General features: G+C 38.7%; 1 protein-coding gene across 25 annotated transcripts in view; it reads right to left on the bottom strand.

Moving 5' to 3' along the window:
* Positions 1-18,186, bottom strand: part of FTO (FTO alpha-ketoglutarate dependent dioxygenase) — a 417,979-nt gene that overhangs the window by 334,981 nt on the left and 64,812 nt on the right. The window lies entirely within an intron of this gene.

The raw sequence follows: 18,186 nt of genomic DNA, 5'->3' as shown, positions 1-18,186 counted from the left end.
TTTTTGTATTTTTAGTAGAGATGGGATTTCACCGTGTTAGCCAGGATAGTTTCGATCTATTGACCTCATGATCTGCCCGCCTCAGCCTCCCAAAGTCCTGGAAACACAGGCGTGAGCCACTGCGCCCAGCCCAAGGATGGTGTTTCTAAGGAACAAATGTTCAAGTCACACTCAGCCTCTCTACCATCTTATGTCCAAACAGTAGGTCAGGAATAACCAGCTTAAAGTTAATGGCTTCAGGGTACCAGCTATTTGCATTTCAGTTTGCTTTTATGCTCTCCCACTCCATTTCTGACTGTTACCTATTAAAACTTTAGAGTAACAGAGACTATCCAAGTGCATCACAAAATTCACAGCAGTCGCAAGGAACCTAGAATAATAATTCAGACATTCTAAATGCATAACTGATGTTAGTGTTTATTTTTAAAAAGGACATTATCTCATAAAGTAGATTTGAGATCATCTCTTCTGAATCCTATTTCATTCAAGAGCCAGTTTTGAATTTTTTTATTTTATTTTCATTATGTTCTGATCTGCCAAAAGATACAGAGTGTGTGTTGCCATTTTGCATTGAATCCATGCTGTCAAAAATGACTGGAACTGTAGAACCATAGCAGCGTACCACCATGGGCAGCACACACAGCTCACTTTCTCCTCTCCTAGTATTCCTCACAGCTCAAAAAGAGTTGTTTTCTCACTTATGGCCTATAATCTCATATTCCAACAAATGCTTTTAAAGAAAGGTCATCATAAGAAAAGAAAGTGTGTGTTTGCATGGGGTAGGGGCAGTGTATCAACTTTCTCACACAAGCCTCTGAAACCACTCACCATATCTCGCCTAACACACTCCAACAGCCTCCTCCTGGTCTCTCTATTGTCCCCTGCCTATGGTCTATCCTCTACAGCCGTCAGAGCAACCTCCTTTAAAAAGTAGGTCAAATCATGTCATTCCCTTGCTTAAAAACTTTTACCTTCTTAATGAGCTCCCACTTTGCGTAAAATAAAATCCACACTCTTTATCATGACTTTCTTTTTTTTTTTTTTTTCTTTTTGAGATGGAGTCTCGCTCTGTCACCAGGCTGGAGTGCAGCGGCGGAATCTCGGCTAACTGCAACCTCCGCCTCCCGGGTTCAAGCAATTCTCCTGCCTCAGCCTCCCGAGTAGCTGGGACTACAGGCGCATGTCACCACGCCCAGCTAATTTTTGTATTTTTAGTAGAGACCGGGTTTCACCATGTTGGTCAGGATGGTCTTGATCTCTTGACCTCATGATCCACCCGCCTCATCCTCCCAAAGTGCTGGGATTACAGGCATGAGCCACCGCGCCCAGCTATCTTTCTTAATCATAGCAAGTCTGTCCCTCAAATCTCTCTCTCCACCATTCTCAAATCATGTAGGCCTTCTTTCTGTCCTTCAAATGATGTTTCCTCTCCCAGCTTTGCACAACTTTCTCTTTCTCATCAATTCATTCCCCAAATGGCCCAATCCCTGCCATCCTATCAAAAACAGCACTCTCACCCTAGTTGCTATCATATATTCTGTTTATTTATTTGTACTTAATTTTTGTCTCTCTCCCACTAGCATATAAGCTCCATGAAAGCAGAGACTAAGTATACTTTCCTTTCCACTTTCATTCAGTAATTATTTTATGTCTACTTCATGTCAGGCATTGTTCCAATTACTGGGAATATGCAGTGAACCAAGAAGGCAAAAAAATCCCTCTTCATATGCACTGGCACTCTGCCCTGTTCCTCACTGACTCCCCAGACAGTGATGTGAGCCTTAGGTTTTACTGTGCTTCAGTATGCCTTTTAAAACTATTTTCATTAAATCAACCAAGTTACTAATGAATAAAATCTATTGAGGCTGGTCACACATATATATTATTAATATATAATGATAATGTCAAAAAGCTTAGCTTTAACTATTAGAGCTGAGTGAGGTCCAAATGCTACTTACTATTTGCCACTCCTCTAAGAAAAAAACTTGTTTCCCAATTCTAACCTCTTTTACAGTTTCTCATAAATCACAACCCCTCCTCACTTTCCCCCACTCTGCACTCCCACATACACTATACCACCTTGGCAGAGGTAAATGAACTGAGTTCGTTGACACATTGAAACAGCTTTGATGTATATGAACATATCTGCAATATCTGAATTCTACCTCCAAATATAGTCCAATTTTTTTTCTTTAGTTTGGTTTTATTTTTTAACATAAGGAACATCATTTATCTATGCAATGACTGGTAATGAAACCTACTTGGCAATTACCTGTTAGATTTGTCACACTCAATTTAGCACTTCAGCAATTATAGTAAGTAAAGCCCAAATGTGAAATCACTTAAACTTAGTCTCTTTTTCGCTGGTAGGATGCCCCAAGTCCCACCCAGAGGAGCCTCTCCCTGCCAACACCTTGACAGCTCACCTATTTTCAGGTCTGCTGAGCTATGCCTGGCTATCTTTCTACCAAGTCAGGGAAAAGGAATCCTGGAAAACCACAAATCCATCTCTTTTGTTCCACAGAAAAAGTATTTACTTTTGAAAGTCACCATATAACCATACATACTCAATTTATATGCTGAATCTGGTTGAAGAGCTAACCCACATGAAAAGACACAAGGAGAGCCAAATGGGAGTATTACCAGTTTAGGTTATTTATTTGATGTTTAGCTTTCATTTGTCTACATGATTTCAAGGAGTTTTCACAGTGGAAATGTACAGACAGCAAGTATACTTTGCAGAGCCCCTTGAAACAGAACAATGTGCTGAAAAGTACATAGAATCTTTAAGGATATGAAAGATGCTATGAATATAGAATATCAAGTCCAGGTTTTAAGACGAAACCCTCATGCTCAACACTCACCCATAAAGCAGGGGCATCTAGCTAGATTTGGCTGCTCATTGTAAGTGACTATAGAGTTACTGTTTTTCAATACAGTTTCCAAGGGCCCATCTCAGCCCTGGTTTAGAATCTCCAGAAGTAGGGTCTGTATTGTTTCTAAGGCCAGTGAGGTGAGGTGATGATCAACCAGGTTTAGAAACCACTGATCTACAGAACCTAAGACCTGAACTTAAATGTCATCAGAAATCAGGCAGTTAAATGAGCAAAGCAGGAAGGTAAAAGACATAGGATATAATGGAGCATGCATTCAAATTAATTTTTTTTTTTTCCGAGACAAAGTCTCACTCTGTCACCCAGGCCGGAGTGCAGTGGCGCGATCTCAGCTCACTGCAACCTCCACCTTTCGGGTTCAAGTGATTCTCCTGCCTCAGCCTCCCGAGTAGCTGGGATTATAGGCACGTGCCACCACGCCCGGCTAATTTTCTTTTACTTTTTTTTTTTTTTTTTTTTTTTATGGAGTCTTGCTCTGTCACCCAGGCTGGAGTGCCGTGGCGCAACCTCGTTTCACTGCAAGCTCCGCCTCCCGGGTTCACGCCATTCTCTTGCCTCAGCCTCTCGAGTAGCTGGGACTACAGGCGCCCGCCACCACGCCCTGGCTAATTTTTTGTATTTTTAGTAGAGACGGGGTTTCACCGTGTTAGCCAGGATGGCCTCGATCTCCTCGTGACCCGCCCGCCTCGGCCTCCCAAAGCGCTGGGATTATAGGCGTGAGCCACCACACCTGGCCTGTATTTTTTTTTAGTAGAGACAGTGTTTCACCAACTTGGCCGGGTTGGTCTCGGACTCCTGACCTCATGATTCACCCACCTCAGGCTCCCGAAGTGCTGGGATTACAGGAGTGAGCCACCGCACCCAGCAGTCAAATTAAATTTTTAAAAAATACAGTGGGCCCAATTTAGTCTGCTGCTCTTGATTCTGTTATTTTGGTATTTAGACTGTAACTCCTTGAAGCTGAGCACCATATCTCATTCGTACCTGTGCCTGGTATAGTGCCTGATACATAATAGGTTCAATCGATGTTTGTTAAATTACTGATAAAGATTTCTGTAAAGAAATTCCAATTCTTCTGACATTATTAGAACTGCCACTCATTCAACCAAAATTCACTACACACCTACTACACACAAGGCTCTAAGGATACTGAGTGTGACTAAGACAGACAAGATTCCTGTTCTTATGGGGTTTACATTTTGGGAGAATGGAGGAAGAGATAGGAATAAACATTCGTACATAAATAAGCCCATTTCAGACAGTGATGAATATCATTCAGCATTAAAATGGCTGCACTTTGTGTCGAAGGTTTAATGAATTTCAGACACACACAAGTGAGTGGAAGTTACTGGCTTCTGAGGAGCTGAAGAATACTCACCTGATTTGTACAGCCTGAGCTCTGCCACTATACCAGTTGAATGACCTTGGACAAACCACTTAATCAATCTGGAGGAATTAAATTAAATGATCTCTAAGACTTTCTAGCCCTGAGATTGTATATTCTATTAGGAAAGATGCATTAGCAAAATTTCACACACCAAGATGGTCATGTCTGATCTAGAGTACCCAAATACTTTGAGGTGCCATTCCTCAATAATTGGCTCTCGACATTTACACATTATCATAAACTGAAAAATTTTCCAAGCATTCCATGAGTCCATCTCTACAGTTTACCTAAGGCAAAAACCACAGGCTCAGATATTGATTGCCACAGTGGGCAACTGGCATGCCTAGACTAGGCTATGAAGCTGGCACTGTCACAGGTCCCAGGGAAAAGGAAATCAAATACCGAGTTTAAAGTGATTATGGAAACCGGAAATTAGTTAAATTCTCTCATTCAATAAACATTATTAAGAGACTGCAGAAAGCCAAAACAAAACAAAAACACAAGCTCTTCCTATAAGGACCTTGGTTGGTATGGACTCTTAAGCTGAGTTTCAGAGGCTTCATGAACCCCATGAAATTAAATACAAAGTTCTGGGTATACGGGCACTTGTCTGGGGAGAGGGTTCCATAACTGTCATCAGATTCTCAAAAGGGTCAAACTGGGGATACTACTACATAAGACACTTTAGACAAGCTCTCTCTTTAATTGTCATATGAATCCCCATTACATAAACAAAGAAACTGAGGTGTAGAGAAGTTCACGTGCCAAAACACAGCCAAGAAGTAGCACAGCAGAAATCTGAACCCTGATGTGCCAGTCTCCAAAACCTATATTTTTTCCTCTGTGCTATGCTCACTTATAAACAAACAAACAAACAAACAAACAGGGCTGTTAAAAAGAATGCATCAGTGAAGCCCCCACAGACCAAGCACCATAATCATGTTAGTGACAAAAGCAAATTCAAGCCTATTACTTTTTAGAGGCTGAAGGAGCCAACATTTTGATTTTTCAACCTCTGCCTCCACCAACTAGAATAAGATGATAGAAGAAGTACAAGAGCCCAAACTAGGGTCGATGACTTTAGGGATCCTGTCCATTCAGAAATCAAAGCATAGGAACCTCCTCAGGCAGCCCAACCCCAAGGTCACTACCCTACACATCTCCAAGGCAGGAATCAGGTAACTTTTCTTCCACCACTGAATGTGGTGGGTGTGCTATATCTCACTTTCCTAACTTGCCTGTGGCCTAACTCTTGGCTCTGACCTTTCATGTTCACACAAATGGCTGTTTACATTTCATGAGTCATGTTACATTTACATAAAAAGGCAACCTGAAAATCATCTGCTATAAATGACAGAATCTGAAATAAAGATCCACTTATGTATTGTGGCATAACAGAAAGAACATGGTCTTTGTAATCAGCATTCAGTACAAATACCAGGAACTACTAGCATTTAGTAGCTGCGTAGCCTTGGGTAAGTTACTTTACCTCTCTGAACCCTGATTACTCAATTGGAAAAATAGGGATAATTATATCTCAGATTTTAATAATCAGCAAAGATTTAGTGAATGCCTACTATGTGCTAAGCACTGTTCTAAGCTCTAGGGGCACAGTTGGGAATGTGACACATAAGATTCTTTCCCTCATAAAGCTTATATTCCTGGTAGAAGAGACAGAAAAATAGCCAAATAAATAAGCTATAAAATATGCAATGATTTTAATAACATTACATTAAAATAGCAATATTTAACATTTTTTGATTATGTACAATGTGTCAGAAACCATAAAAGATGCTAAGTACTACCTTATTCAATTCTTACAATGGAGGGATATAATAATATTTCCATTTTATAAAGAAGAAGATGAAAGTCCTGAAAAGTTAAGTAACTTCTCCAAAATCACACAGCCAGTAAATGACGAGGCCATGATTGAAATCCAGACAGTCTAATAGCAGAAACTCACTCTGCACTGCATCAAGCGATTTAATGAAAATAAAATCTAGGCTGAATGTGGTGGCTCAGTGGCTCCTGCCTGTAATCCTAGCACTTTGGGAGGCCGAGGTGGGTGAATCACCTGAGGTCAGGAGTTCAAGACCAGCCTGACCAATATGGCAAAACCCCGTCTCTACAGGTGGGAAAATCGCTTGAACCCAGGAGGTGGTTACAGTGAGCCCAGATCATGCCACTGCACTCCAGCCTGGGCAACAAGAGCAAAACTCCATCTCAAACAAAAAGAAAGAAAGTAAAATCTAGTGATGCGGTAGAGGGAAACCGCTGTAGCTCAGCTGGTCAGGGAAGGCACATTGAGTGGGTGTCATTTTAGGCAAGACACAAATCACAAGAAGCCAGGCCCAGACTAAAGATCTGGGGAGAGAGTGTCCCAAGCAGGAAGAACAGCTGGTACAAAGGCCCTAAGGAAGAACCAGTCTGGTGGCTTCCAGGGACAGAAAGCAAGCCAGTGAGTCTGGAGCACAGTGAACGAGCAAGGACAGAGTGGCTGGTGAGCTCTCAGAGCTATAGAACCCAGGTTGTTCTGGTCTTGTCAGCCAGAGCAGGAGAAGGATCTCATTCTGTTTGTCATTAAGTCACTGAAGAGTCTTATAGGCAGTGAGGTGACATCACTTGATATATATTTTTAAAATAAATCCAACTTATGTCTGGAAAGTGGATTATGAGAGGGAGAAGACTGTTAAAACTTGAAGTAGGGAGGCCACATTGAGGGTGCAGAAGTCTGTGCAAGAAATGATGGTGGCTTGGCCTGTAGTAGTAGTGACAGAAGTGGAGAAAATTGTACAGGTTCAGGATATATCAGAAAATCACCATGAAGATTAGATGAGGGTGTCTAAAACACCTACTAGAGCATCTAACACACAGCAGGCATTTACAAGCGCTAGCTAGCTTCCATGGCTAGCATTAATTAATAAGAGGTTTGAGATAAAACTATAAATTAATGGATATAATGTGCATTATTCAGATGAGTTACACTAAAAGCTGACCCAGACTTTACCACTACACAATATATCCATGTAACAAAACTGCACTGGTACCCCTTACATTTATATAAATAAACAAACTCTAAATTGTACCCGAAATGAGTCTTCGGCATCTCTGCCCCAGTTTCTCCAAGGAAGCCCGTAGAAGTTTAGAGTAAATTGGGAGTGCACCAAATTCAAACCACAATAGAGAATTGATCTATTAAAGGAGCTGGACTGTTAAATTAAAACAGTTTCTGTGTGCCAAGCTGAAACACAAAGGGATCACTCTTCTTTAACAATAAAGACCAGTTAAGGGGAGACTCCAGTTACACAATCTCCTCCTCTTCACCGTAAGGCACTTAGATGGAATTTTTTTTTTAATAGAAAAGACAAACTCTTGAGTAAATGTAATAATTGTTGCAATGATGTGCCCCAACCACCCAAGAAGTTAAAAAAAGAAACTGGAAGATTGGGATTCTTCTATTACATGATCAGTTAATTGCTGCCTCAAGTCTAGGCTATATTCACACCAGCAAAGGGATGATGTTATTTGGGAGATCTGACAGCCAGTCAGGAAGCAGAAAGATTGCCTTCCAAATATAAATAAATAAACAAGCAAGCAAACAAACAAATAAAGCAATCAAAGGCTTACAAATGAGGCCAACTGACTCAAAGAATTTTCGCATGTTGCTCAAAATGGGTTCTTTTTTTAGAGAAGGCTTTCCTTAATGTCCCAAATAGGAGGTCCTATTACCTTCTCAGTCATCTCACAAACAACTGATCTCTGCGGCACTTGTCATTCATTATTTTTCTAACAGAAACAACAATTCAAAAAAAAAAAAAAAATCCACAATCACATTGATTTAGGTTAAACATTTATTATCACCAAAGGCAGGTTAAAAAAAAATCCTCCCTGTGCTTCTTAAACTCAAAAAATCAGGCCCCAGGAATTCCGACCCTGGGCTAACAGCAATCTCAGGACAGGAGAGAAATTTTCTCCTCCAGGTTGCCTCACTTAGCCTAAGTTCCAGGGTAAAAAAGGAAATTGGCCTTCAAGATATAACTAATAAAACTATTATTCCACTCTTGGAATTTTTAGCTACTCAAATCTTCCTAATTGGCATAGTGCAGTAGATTGGCAAAGGTTCCACAAGATCAATACTATTTTCAGAATAATACTATTACTTGCTTTTTTCACCGTGTGGACATTTCCACTGACGGTTTAAAGAATGCTGGGTAAAACTGCAGGTGCCTTGTCACTAATCAAGCCAGCGGTACCAAACTAAACTAGTATTCAGTTTTTTTAACATCTATTTTTAATTGACAAGTAATACATATTTATGGAGTACAATGTGATGTTTTGACATTTGTATACATTGTGGAATGATTAAATCAAGCTAATTAACTTATCCATCACCTCACATACTTTGTGGTGAAAGCATTTAAAATCTACCATTTTAGCAATTTTGAAATATACATTATTATTAACTATAGTGAGCAGGCTGTTTTAATAGACCTCAAAAACTTACTAGTTGCTATGTTCTTTACCATGCATTCCATTTAAAAGAGAAAGAAAAAGGAAGTTAGTTTCACTTAAGCATGTCCTTGGTGAAGCAGGAAAAATTATTAATTCTATTAAATCTTGAGCTTTAAGTAGCTATCTTTTTACTATACTGTGTGACAAAATAGTAAACATACATAAAGTACTTCTGATAAATACTAAAGTAAAATGGTTGTCTCAAACAAAAGTACATGTGTGATTTGAGTTCTGGGCTGAATTTGCCCCATGGAACACCATTTTTACTTGAAAAAATAGCTGACTGACATTTTTCTGGTTAATCGGACTTGAGTATTTGGCAGACTTTTTCTCAACAATTAATCAAGTGAGCTTGCCACTTCAAGAAAAACAACTGACCATATTTGCTGCCAATGATAAACTTCAGGTTGTCAAGAAAAATCAGAAATTTAGAAAATTTGTATTTGCTACCTTGAGCTTGGGGCTTTTCAATACTTAAAAACTTGTATAAGATCAGTGGTGATACTGATGAGTGTGACCTTTTTTTACACTGTATAATGAAATGCATCAACATTTGGAAGATCTGTATAACTCAGTGACATGATAATTTTCCAAATGATCAAAACGTAATGTTACAAAATCATTTGAATGTAAAAGATGCATTCAAAGTGCAAAAGAGATCAACAGATTTTAATATAACAAAGTAAGAAAAGTTAATTGAGATAGCTTCGGATTCCACACTGCAAGTAAGCTTTAAGATATTATCACTTGTCTAAAGAAAATGGAATAATATTCAGCCTTACAAAAGGAAATTCTGTCATCTGTGACAACATGGATGAATCTTGAATCTAGAGGGCATTATGCTAAGTGAAATAAGCCAGGTACAGATCTCCCTAAAATATGGAATCTAAAAAAGTCAAACTCATAGAAGTAGAGAGCAGAACAGTAATTGCCAGAGTTTGGTGGGATAGAGCAGAGAAAGGGGAGATGTTAGTCAAAGGGTAAAAAATTCAGTTTGACAGGAGACCTAAGTTCTAGTGATCTGTTGCACAGCATGCTGACTAGTAAACAGTAATGTATATTTCAAATTTGCTAAAATAGTAGATTTTAAGTATTCTCACCACAAAGAAATAATAAGTATGTGTGGTGACAGATATGTTAATTAGCTTGATTTAATCATGCCACAATGTGTACATGGAACATCACAGCATGCCCCATAAATATAGATAATTATTGTCAATTAAAAACAAAAATGTTTTAAAATAGAAGCTATCACTTGACAAGTTTTGGAATAATATCAAAGAAGAATATCTACATTTAATAGCTGAAGAAGCAATTAAAATACTCCCTTTTTCCATTAATGTCTGAGGCCAGATTTTGTTCATATACTTCAACCAAAACAACATATTTCAACAACTAAACAAAAAAGTATAAGAATCAAGCATCAAGCTAGACAGTAAAGAGATGTGCAGAAAAGTAAAACAATGGCACACTTCTTGCTAATTTTTTACATTGGAAAAGAGTTATTTTTCATAAAAAATGTTACATTAACTTGTAATGAAGGGGTTTTGCTATTTTTAAATCAATAAAGGCTTTTAAAAGTTCCTGTTTTAGTTCCCAGTACAGTAAATATTGATAGGTTTAACCCATATAAACAAAAGCTTTTTGAGTCCTCAACAATTTTTAGGAGTATAAAAGGGTTCTGAAGCCAAAAAATTTGTGAACCTCTGGCCTAAAGCAAACACATAATAGCTGCCTTCTCACACACACAAAAAGCAGAAAGAAGCCAAAGTGAATTTCTTTGGGCTTTATTGTGTAATTCGCTTAAGGCCCATGGGCCTTACTAATTTACATGTCTGATTTACTCAGAATCCTTCTTCCTCCTCCTCGCTGGCAAGAAACCACAGACAAATTCCATTGCTATTTCACAACACACACTTCAGCAAACTGCAATGCAGTGGTATGGACATGGAGCTCATCCAGCCTGGCAAACGGGGATAAGGAGCTCAACTCCAGGGTTTTCCCTCTCAGGGCCCTTTTCAAACACTAAATCCACAAAACTCAGCATTAGTTTGCTCAAAGCAAATAGTTAATTTCAGTAGTAATCAAAAAGACAAAATCACACAGCTAGAGTACCGCTTCAGCCCCCAGATTGACCCTCCACCATCCCCTTTTTCCCAAGCAAGTAGATGTCTAAACCATGAAAAATCAACAAATCAATCCACAACAAATATTTACATTGTCGACATAAAAAGGAGCGGAGAGTATATAGTCATAAAAAGAAAACTAACGATATAGGTAATAAAATTAAAATGCCTTAGTAAACCATGCTATAAGTATGAAGAAAGGAGAAAAAAACTCTGTGCCTAAGTGATCAAAGGAATAAACAAATGAGAAAGAAAACAGACTATTAAAAGCAGGCAAAAGGATAGCAGAGCTGAAAAGTTAGTAAAGGACAAGACACTCTGACATCAGTGATTAGACCTTTTGGCTAAAATTCAGTTCCAGCAGGGGGAAAATGAAAGATAAGCCTGGAATGATAGATTGCACCCTGATTATGGAAGGTCCTGAAAGTCAAGCTAAGGAGTCTGGATTCTATCCTGCATGTAATGAGGAGCCTCAGAAAGCTTTTGAGAAGGACAGGAGCACAGTGGAAGGATGTTTGTTATTTGTTGTTCTGATTTTTAAACACCAATCTACTTATAATATGGTTACGGTGAAAGAAACCAAAAGCCAGATAAGGAGACTACTGCAAAAGCCCAGGCAGACAGGAGCTGGACCTGAACAAGGAGACAGCAATGGAAATGAAAAGGAATCAAGAGTTACAGGTAGGCAGGTGGATCTGAAATCTCACATAGTACCAAGACACGTGACTAGGAAAGGTGGGGCCATATAAGAAATAAGGAAGTCAATGTCATTAACACATCTACTGAGGGCCCACTAAGCTAGTTGCTGTGCTGGACAGAAAATGCAATATGAGTTGGAGGTAAAGATATTTTATTTTAAACATGCTGGGGGAAGAGGTAGATATGGTGGCACTCAGCACCCTTCCAATCTCCTCTTATTGTGCCTTCCTATGGTGCAGAGGATGAAAAGGTAAACACTATTATTTCTCAGACCCTTTTGCAGCTAGGAGTTCTGGATGAGAAATAAGCTTCACCAATTTAATGGCGGCATGTGAGAATCAGAAGTCAAAAATAAAATGGAGGCCATCACCTTGCTGTTTCAACTTTTTCTGCAGGCAACATAGTCATGAGGCAATAACATTCCAGAATCTGGCCATTCACTTTGTAGTTCTCAAATGCCAGTTGTAATGGTGGTACCTTCCTGATCCCAACTACAACTATGGTTGTGTGTTCTTACAAATCAACAGTTCTAGGAATGACTCCTGATTCTTAGCCCTTCCCGAGTGTGACAGATGAGCGGCTACCCTGGCAAGCCAATCTGTAATATTGTTTCAGAAGCCCATCTCTGGAGGCTCCACCTTCAGCCCATTTCTCTGGTCCTCCTGATGACTTTATATCAACCTATTTCCCTATCTCACATAGTTTCTGTTTCCTACAACTAAATCCAGACATATATAAAGGGTTTAAGTAAAAGTAGAACAACCAAGTGAAAATAGTTGATACACAGTTAAAAGAATGGAACTTAAACCTTGGAAACAGAGCCAGGCCAGAAACAGAGCCAGGCCACAGTATATGAAAATAGGTACTATCTACACAGATGCAGAAGTCTGAGCCCTCAGACTACATTAATCCATCTTCTGGAATTTCTACAACTCACCTTGGAATCAACAAAGAAAAATCTTCCTAGCTTTCTTAGGTAATTATAGCAACATCTTATATTTACCTGGAGCTTTGAATATAAGCAAAGGTATATTGAGAAGTTATTGTTTCACTTTTACCTGGTGGAGGAGACACACAAGGGTGCGTATTATAATCTCCATTTTAAGAAATGAGAGAATCAAAGCACAGAGACGGCAAACAGTTTGCCTAAGGTCATAGAGGGTAAGTTAGTGGTCCAGCTAAAGTATTTCCTGCTTTAAACCTATTTTATCCTGTTTGGTCTTCTGTCGGTTAATTCTGACCACATTCTAAAATAAACGTTGAAATTGTTGCTATAGAAATATTAGGAGCCTAAGAGGGCTTGTAAAAACCACAAAGAATTAAATGGGGCCGAACTTACGACCATGGAAAAAATTAAAATTCCATGTGTAATTTTCTTCTCCGATTTTAACCTAAAATGTGGTGCTTGTGGCAGGCCCACTGTTCCTATGACACGCTTCCAACACTCACAGTTCTGAGTAACAAGTGTCGTCCAATTATTCCAGCAGCTATTCATTTATTTTTCTGTCATTCTATGAGTTGGAAAATTAACAGTGTTGTGTTTACAAACCTTCACTAGGTCCTTACATAAAAGCTCAAATATGTTTACGTTACACACAATTCTGGTCTGAAGAAGCTCAAAAGCCAGTTAATATAAACCTATTCTGAACAAATGTGCGAAAACTAGTCCTGTTAGGCAGAGGTTAAGCTTTGACCTTCCCAACTTTCTCCACAGAATGTACAATCCATCACGTACAAAAACACAGTGAAGATGTGAGGTGTTGGTAAGTACCCCTGTTAGTGAGAAATTCTGCTAATTATTACACCAAATAAGCATAGTTAACAGGCCATGACCACAAGAGGTGCATGTTTCAGGGCGTTAAGTAGCTGCCTAGGGTGGAGAGGAATATATTACACTATGCCCTGTACCAATAAAACAATTTCCCTGACACCTAGAAATCCAGTCAGCTGGAGCAAGATAACAAAAGTGTTCTATGGCGTGGCTGTGTGGAGAATGATACTTCAGTGCCACCTAGTGACTTGCACATTTCAACTTAGGAGTTCAGAGAAACTGACAATATCTTCCACCTATGCTTGGAAGCAGGAAAACAGGAGTAGAAGAAATCACATTTGGAGGGCTCCCCAAACTAAATGCTTGCTTTTTTTTAAAGCATACATATATTTTATTCTTTCCTTTTTCTCCCTACCTTGGCCTTTCTAAATAACCACCAAATAGGTATATCGCAATATGAACTCCTCAAAAAAAAAAATAAATAAATAAATCAAAGGCCCAAGTAATCAGCTGCTTCCCAGAAATACATTTTACTTTACCAATAATCATCTGACAGAAAGTTCCTTCAAAATTAAATCTTAAGAACATTCCAAGGGAGAAAAGGAGAGAGCAGACAGGTGGTAAATTAAGACTGAAAAGAACTAAAGGCTTTGAATCTGTAAGACAAATATGAAAAGTAGCAAACTTTGTATATTAGCATAATGCTAATGGTTTAAAAAGTAGGAACTCTGTACAAAGATTTATATGACAATAAAAGACCATGTAACCTGAGTAGTTCCATTCTACCCTTTGAATCAAAATTACTTTTCCCATGGAGACTGCTTCCAAGCTGATGATTTCTAATGTAGCATCTAATAGACACACTGAATATTCCTCCTGCAAATACAGTTAGTCCCAATTCAACACCAGTGCCAAGGAAATCCATGTCTTCCTCAAGCTAATGGTCTAGTGAAAAGAGGTGTGGTATGTATTACTGCAGATACAGTCACAAACAAAGCCTAGTTACTGCCTCATGGAGTTTACATTTTAATGTTGGAAGACAGATAAAAAACAAACAAGAAAACAGTGTATCACATGTTGATGATACAGAGAAAAATAAAACAGGATGAAAGAAACAGAGAACGCCAGCAGGCCATGAAGTAGGGAGTACTATTTTCGGGTAATCAGAGAAAGTCTCCTGAGAATAGGATGTTTAAATAGAGAGCTAAAGGAAGCAAGTGAACCAGCCACGCAGATACCTGGGGGAAGAAAGTTCTACAAAAAGAGAGAAGAGAAAATACAAAGGCCCATGGCAGGAAGCACTTGCCCTGTTAGAGGAACAAAATAGGGGCCAGTCTGAGTGGGTTAAAAAGAAAGAGAAGAAGAGTAGGGGAAGAGGTCAGAAACGATTCAGGGAAAAAGATCAGAAAGAAAGCCAAAGAAGTTGTTTTTGTTGTAATAGCAGCTTTATTGAGATATCGTTAACATACCACACAATTTTCCCCTTCAAAAAAGTATACAAGCCAGAAAGTATATTCATAGAGTTATGCAATCGTCACCACTACTTAATTTCAGAACATTTTCACTACCACAAAAGAAAAAGAAACCCTGCATCCATTAGCAGTCACTCCCCATTCCTCTCTCCCCAGCTCCTGGCAATCACTAATCTATTTCCAGTCTCTATGGATTTGTCTATTCTGTACATGGAATCATGTAATATGTGGCCTTTTGTCACTGGCTTCTTTTACGGAGCATATGGTTTCAAAGTTCAACCATTTTATAGCATGGTACCAGTACTTCATTCTTTTTATTGACAAATAATATTCCATTGTATGGTTATGCCACATTTTAATTGTACATTCATCATTGATGGGCGTTTGGGTTTTTTCCACTTTTGGCTATCATGAATAACGCTGCTGTGAACATTCATGTACAGGTTTTGTGTGGACATACATTGTCATTTCTCTTGGGTAACTAGGAGTGGAATTGCCGGGTTATATGGTAACTCTACGTATAACATTTTGAGGAAACATAAAAGAGTTTGAACAGAAAAGAGATTTGTTTTGTTGTGTTTTGAAGACTAAACTTTGATTGCTATGTAGGGAAAGGCAAGGAAAGAAGCAAGGAGACTAGATAGGAAGAAATTGCGATGATCCAGGAGAGTGATGCTAGTGGCTTGGAGAAGGATGGCAGAAGGAGACGTTGTAAGAAGTGGTTGGATTCTGAATATATTCTGAAGACAGATGCAACAGAATTTGCTGATGGGTGAAATGTGGAATGGGAAAGACGAAGTCAAGGATGTTTCCAGGGTTTTTGGTCTGAACAACTGGAAGGATGAAGATGTCCTGTACTGAGATGGAGATGACTATAGGAGTAACTATAAATATTAGTTCCCTCTCTATTTCCTTCCTTCTCTGGAGATTCCCCACATTCTACCTTCAGAGTTGCTTGAAATGTTTAATCATCAGAAGCAGTTGCTATATTTCTTAATTGCCAATCCCTTTCGCGAAAGTCTCTATCATAGCCCCAACCTATAGCGAAGTCCCTTTAGAGCCATCCTGGATAGTTTGCTTTTGTAATTAACAAATCAAATTCCAATTGGCAGGACAACAGCAAAGTGTGTAAGAGAGCAAAAAATAGAAGAACAAAAATCCATCACGATAAGTGGTTTTTCAAACAACGTCTCGCAAACACCCATTCAGAAGTGCCTTGAGTTAGGAGAATAGAAGAATTTAAGAAATCTATCATCCAAGAAGCCAAGAATGACTCAGAAGGCAGACCAAAGCCTCGCCTTCAAACATGATAACTGAAAAAATAGGGCACTTTTCTTCTCTGGCACTGGCATCCACCAGACCAAGCACCTGGGTTATTCAATGCAGTATCATTCATGTTCTTGGATATCACAGCAGTAAATATTTTATTAGAAAATAAAAGGAGAAAAGAAAAGGGAATCTAAAGGGGAAATTTTCTGAGCTTGAAATGCAAAATGTGTTTAGTTACCTTCAACATACACCTTTTCAAAGCAATTGAAATGTGTCTGCATACAATAGGAATGTTAAGACCTCTGTAGGCCATGATCCTGCTACTTTTGAAGGCCTCACTCAACATCAAAATAAACATATTAAATTGTATTCATATTTCACATTAAAAGGTTTCTCTGCAATGCAAAATAATTTGAGAAGATTTTTCGTTTGAATTTATTTGGCCTTGAGAAACTCATTTATGACTAATTATAATTTCTCAGCAATCACTGGATAGTACTTGGGAATTCTTGGAAATTCCAAATTCCAACTTACAAAATCTTTTCAAATATAGTAGAGAAGGCAGGGAAAGAAGCAAGGAGGTTCGTTAGGAAGAAATTACATTTTTTTCCATACAAACTGTAACAACTTTGGAAGCTGATATAAGGCTCCATTTTATAAGCATTTAGTTAAACATTTATTCATTTCAATTCTGCAATTTTATGTCTGGAGTTTGGAGTCAATACATTTTTTTCAAGTCTCATACATTTTTAGAGACCCCTGAAAAACTCTGTGGCTGAGATGAGTGGCAGCTGTTTTCCTCCTCTTCCTGCTGAGTTCTGGCCAATGGAATGTGAACAGAAGTGATGAGTGCCACTTCCAGGTCTGGCCCATAAAAAACCCCTAAACACATTTCTGCAGCTCTTTTCCCCTTCTTGCTGGCTGGAATAGAGATAACCTAAGGTGACCTTAGAAACCTTGTGTGGAAGATGGCAGAGCCTCCTTCAGCTTAGATCCCTAAATGAATACAGAGAGGAAAATGTCCTACCACCCTGTTTACCTACTCATTACTGTTACATAAACAAGAAATGCATTTTATTATGTTTAAGCCATTATAGACTATTTTGATATGATTTTTGCAGCAAAAATCATATCAAGTTAGGGTACGTTGCAGCAATAACCTACCCTAACTAATGTAAACCCACAGGGCTAGACACAATGCCTGTAGTGTCTCATAGATAAATGGCCCTGATTAATAATTTAGACTTTCATCTCTTTTATTTATGCAATTACTAAACCCTAATAAAAATGATATCTAACACTTGTATCGCAGTTGCTATATACTAAGTTCTGCTCTAAATATTTTACATGAATTAACTTATTTGATCTTCATAACAATGCTCAGTGGTGGTTACCATAATTATCCCCACTTGACAGATTATGAAACTGAGGTACAGAGAAATTAAGTACCCCGCCCAAAGTTAAACAATGAGTAAGTGACAGAGCTAGTACTCAAGCCCAAGTAATATGGTTCTGGCAGCCATGCTTTCAATCAGTATGCTATAAATGCGGAGAATCAAGGTGAAAACATGAACTCCAAGGTAGCTCCATTTTCATCTCCCCTCTCACCCAGAAGAAGGAAAGATAAATGGACATAATCGAATATGCAATACCACATCCCCATGTTTGTCATAGATACATTTATTGTTAACCTTAAAGAGAACTTCAGCTAACTCAAGACAGTTCTGATTTACTCTGAATCCTGACTTTCAAAAGGCGCCCACCACATATGTGGGTAGATGAGTCCAAAAGTCAATGTAATTATATACTCGCTTTCATGAAAATGCAAATGTCTCTGGAAGGCAGCTAATAAGTAAATCTGTACTTTTCCAAAGAAGCAAGGATTAACTTCATTGTGGGTTAAATTAGCTGAACATCAGAAAAGGACATCCAAAATAAACAGTCATGTACTGGTGGTAGCCAGGGGTGATGTGACCAAACGCACACTTGAGGAGGAATTCCAAGGGTGGTTGTGAACATTTTTCTGATTCAAAGTAAACAAAAAAACAAGGCAAGT

The sequence above is a fragment of the Homo sapiens genome, chromosome 16, assembly GCF_000001405.40.
Source record: "Homo sapiens chromosome 16, GRCh38.p14 Primary Assembly".
Classification (NCBI taxonomy): domain Eukaryota; kingdom Metazoa; phylum Chordata; class Mammalia; order Primates; family Hominidae; genus Homo; species Homo sapiens.
Note: the sequence above shows the minus strand (reverse complement) of the source record. Positions and strands in the feature narration are given on the sequence as shown.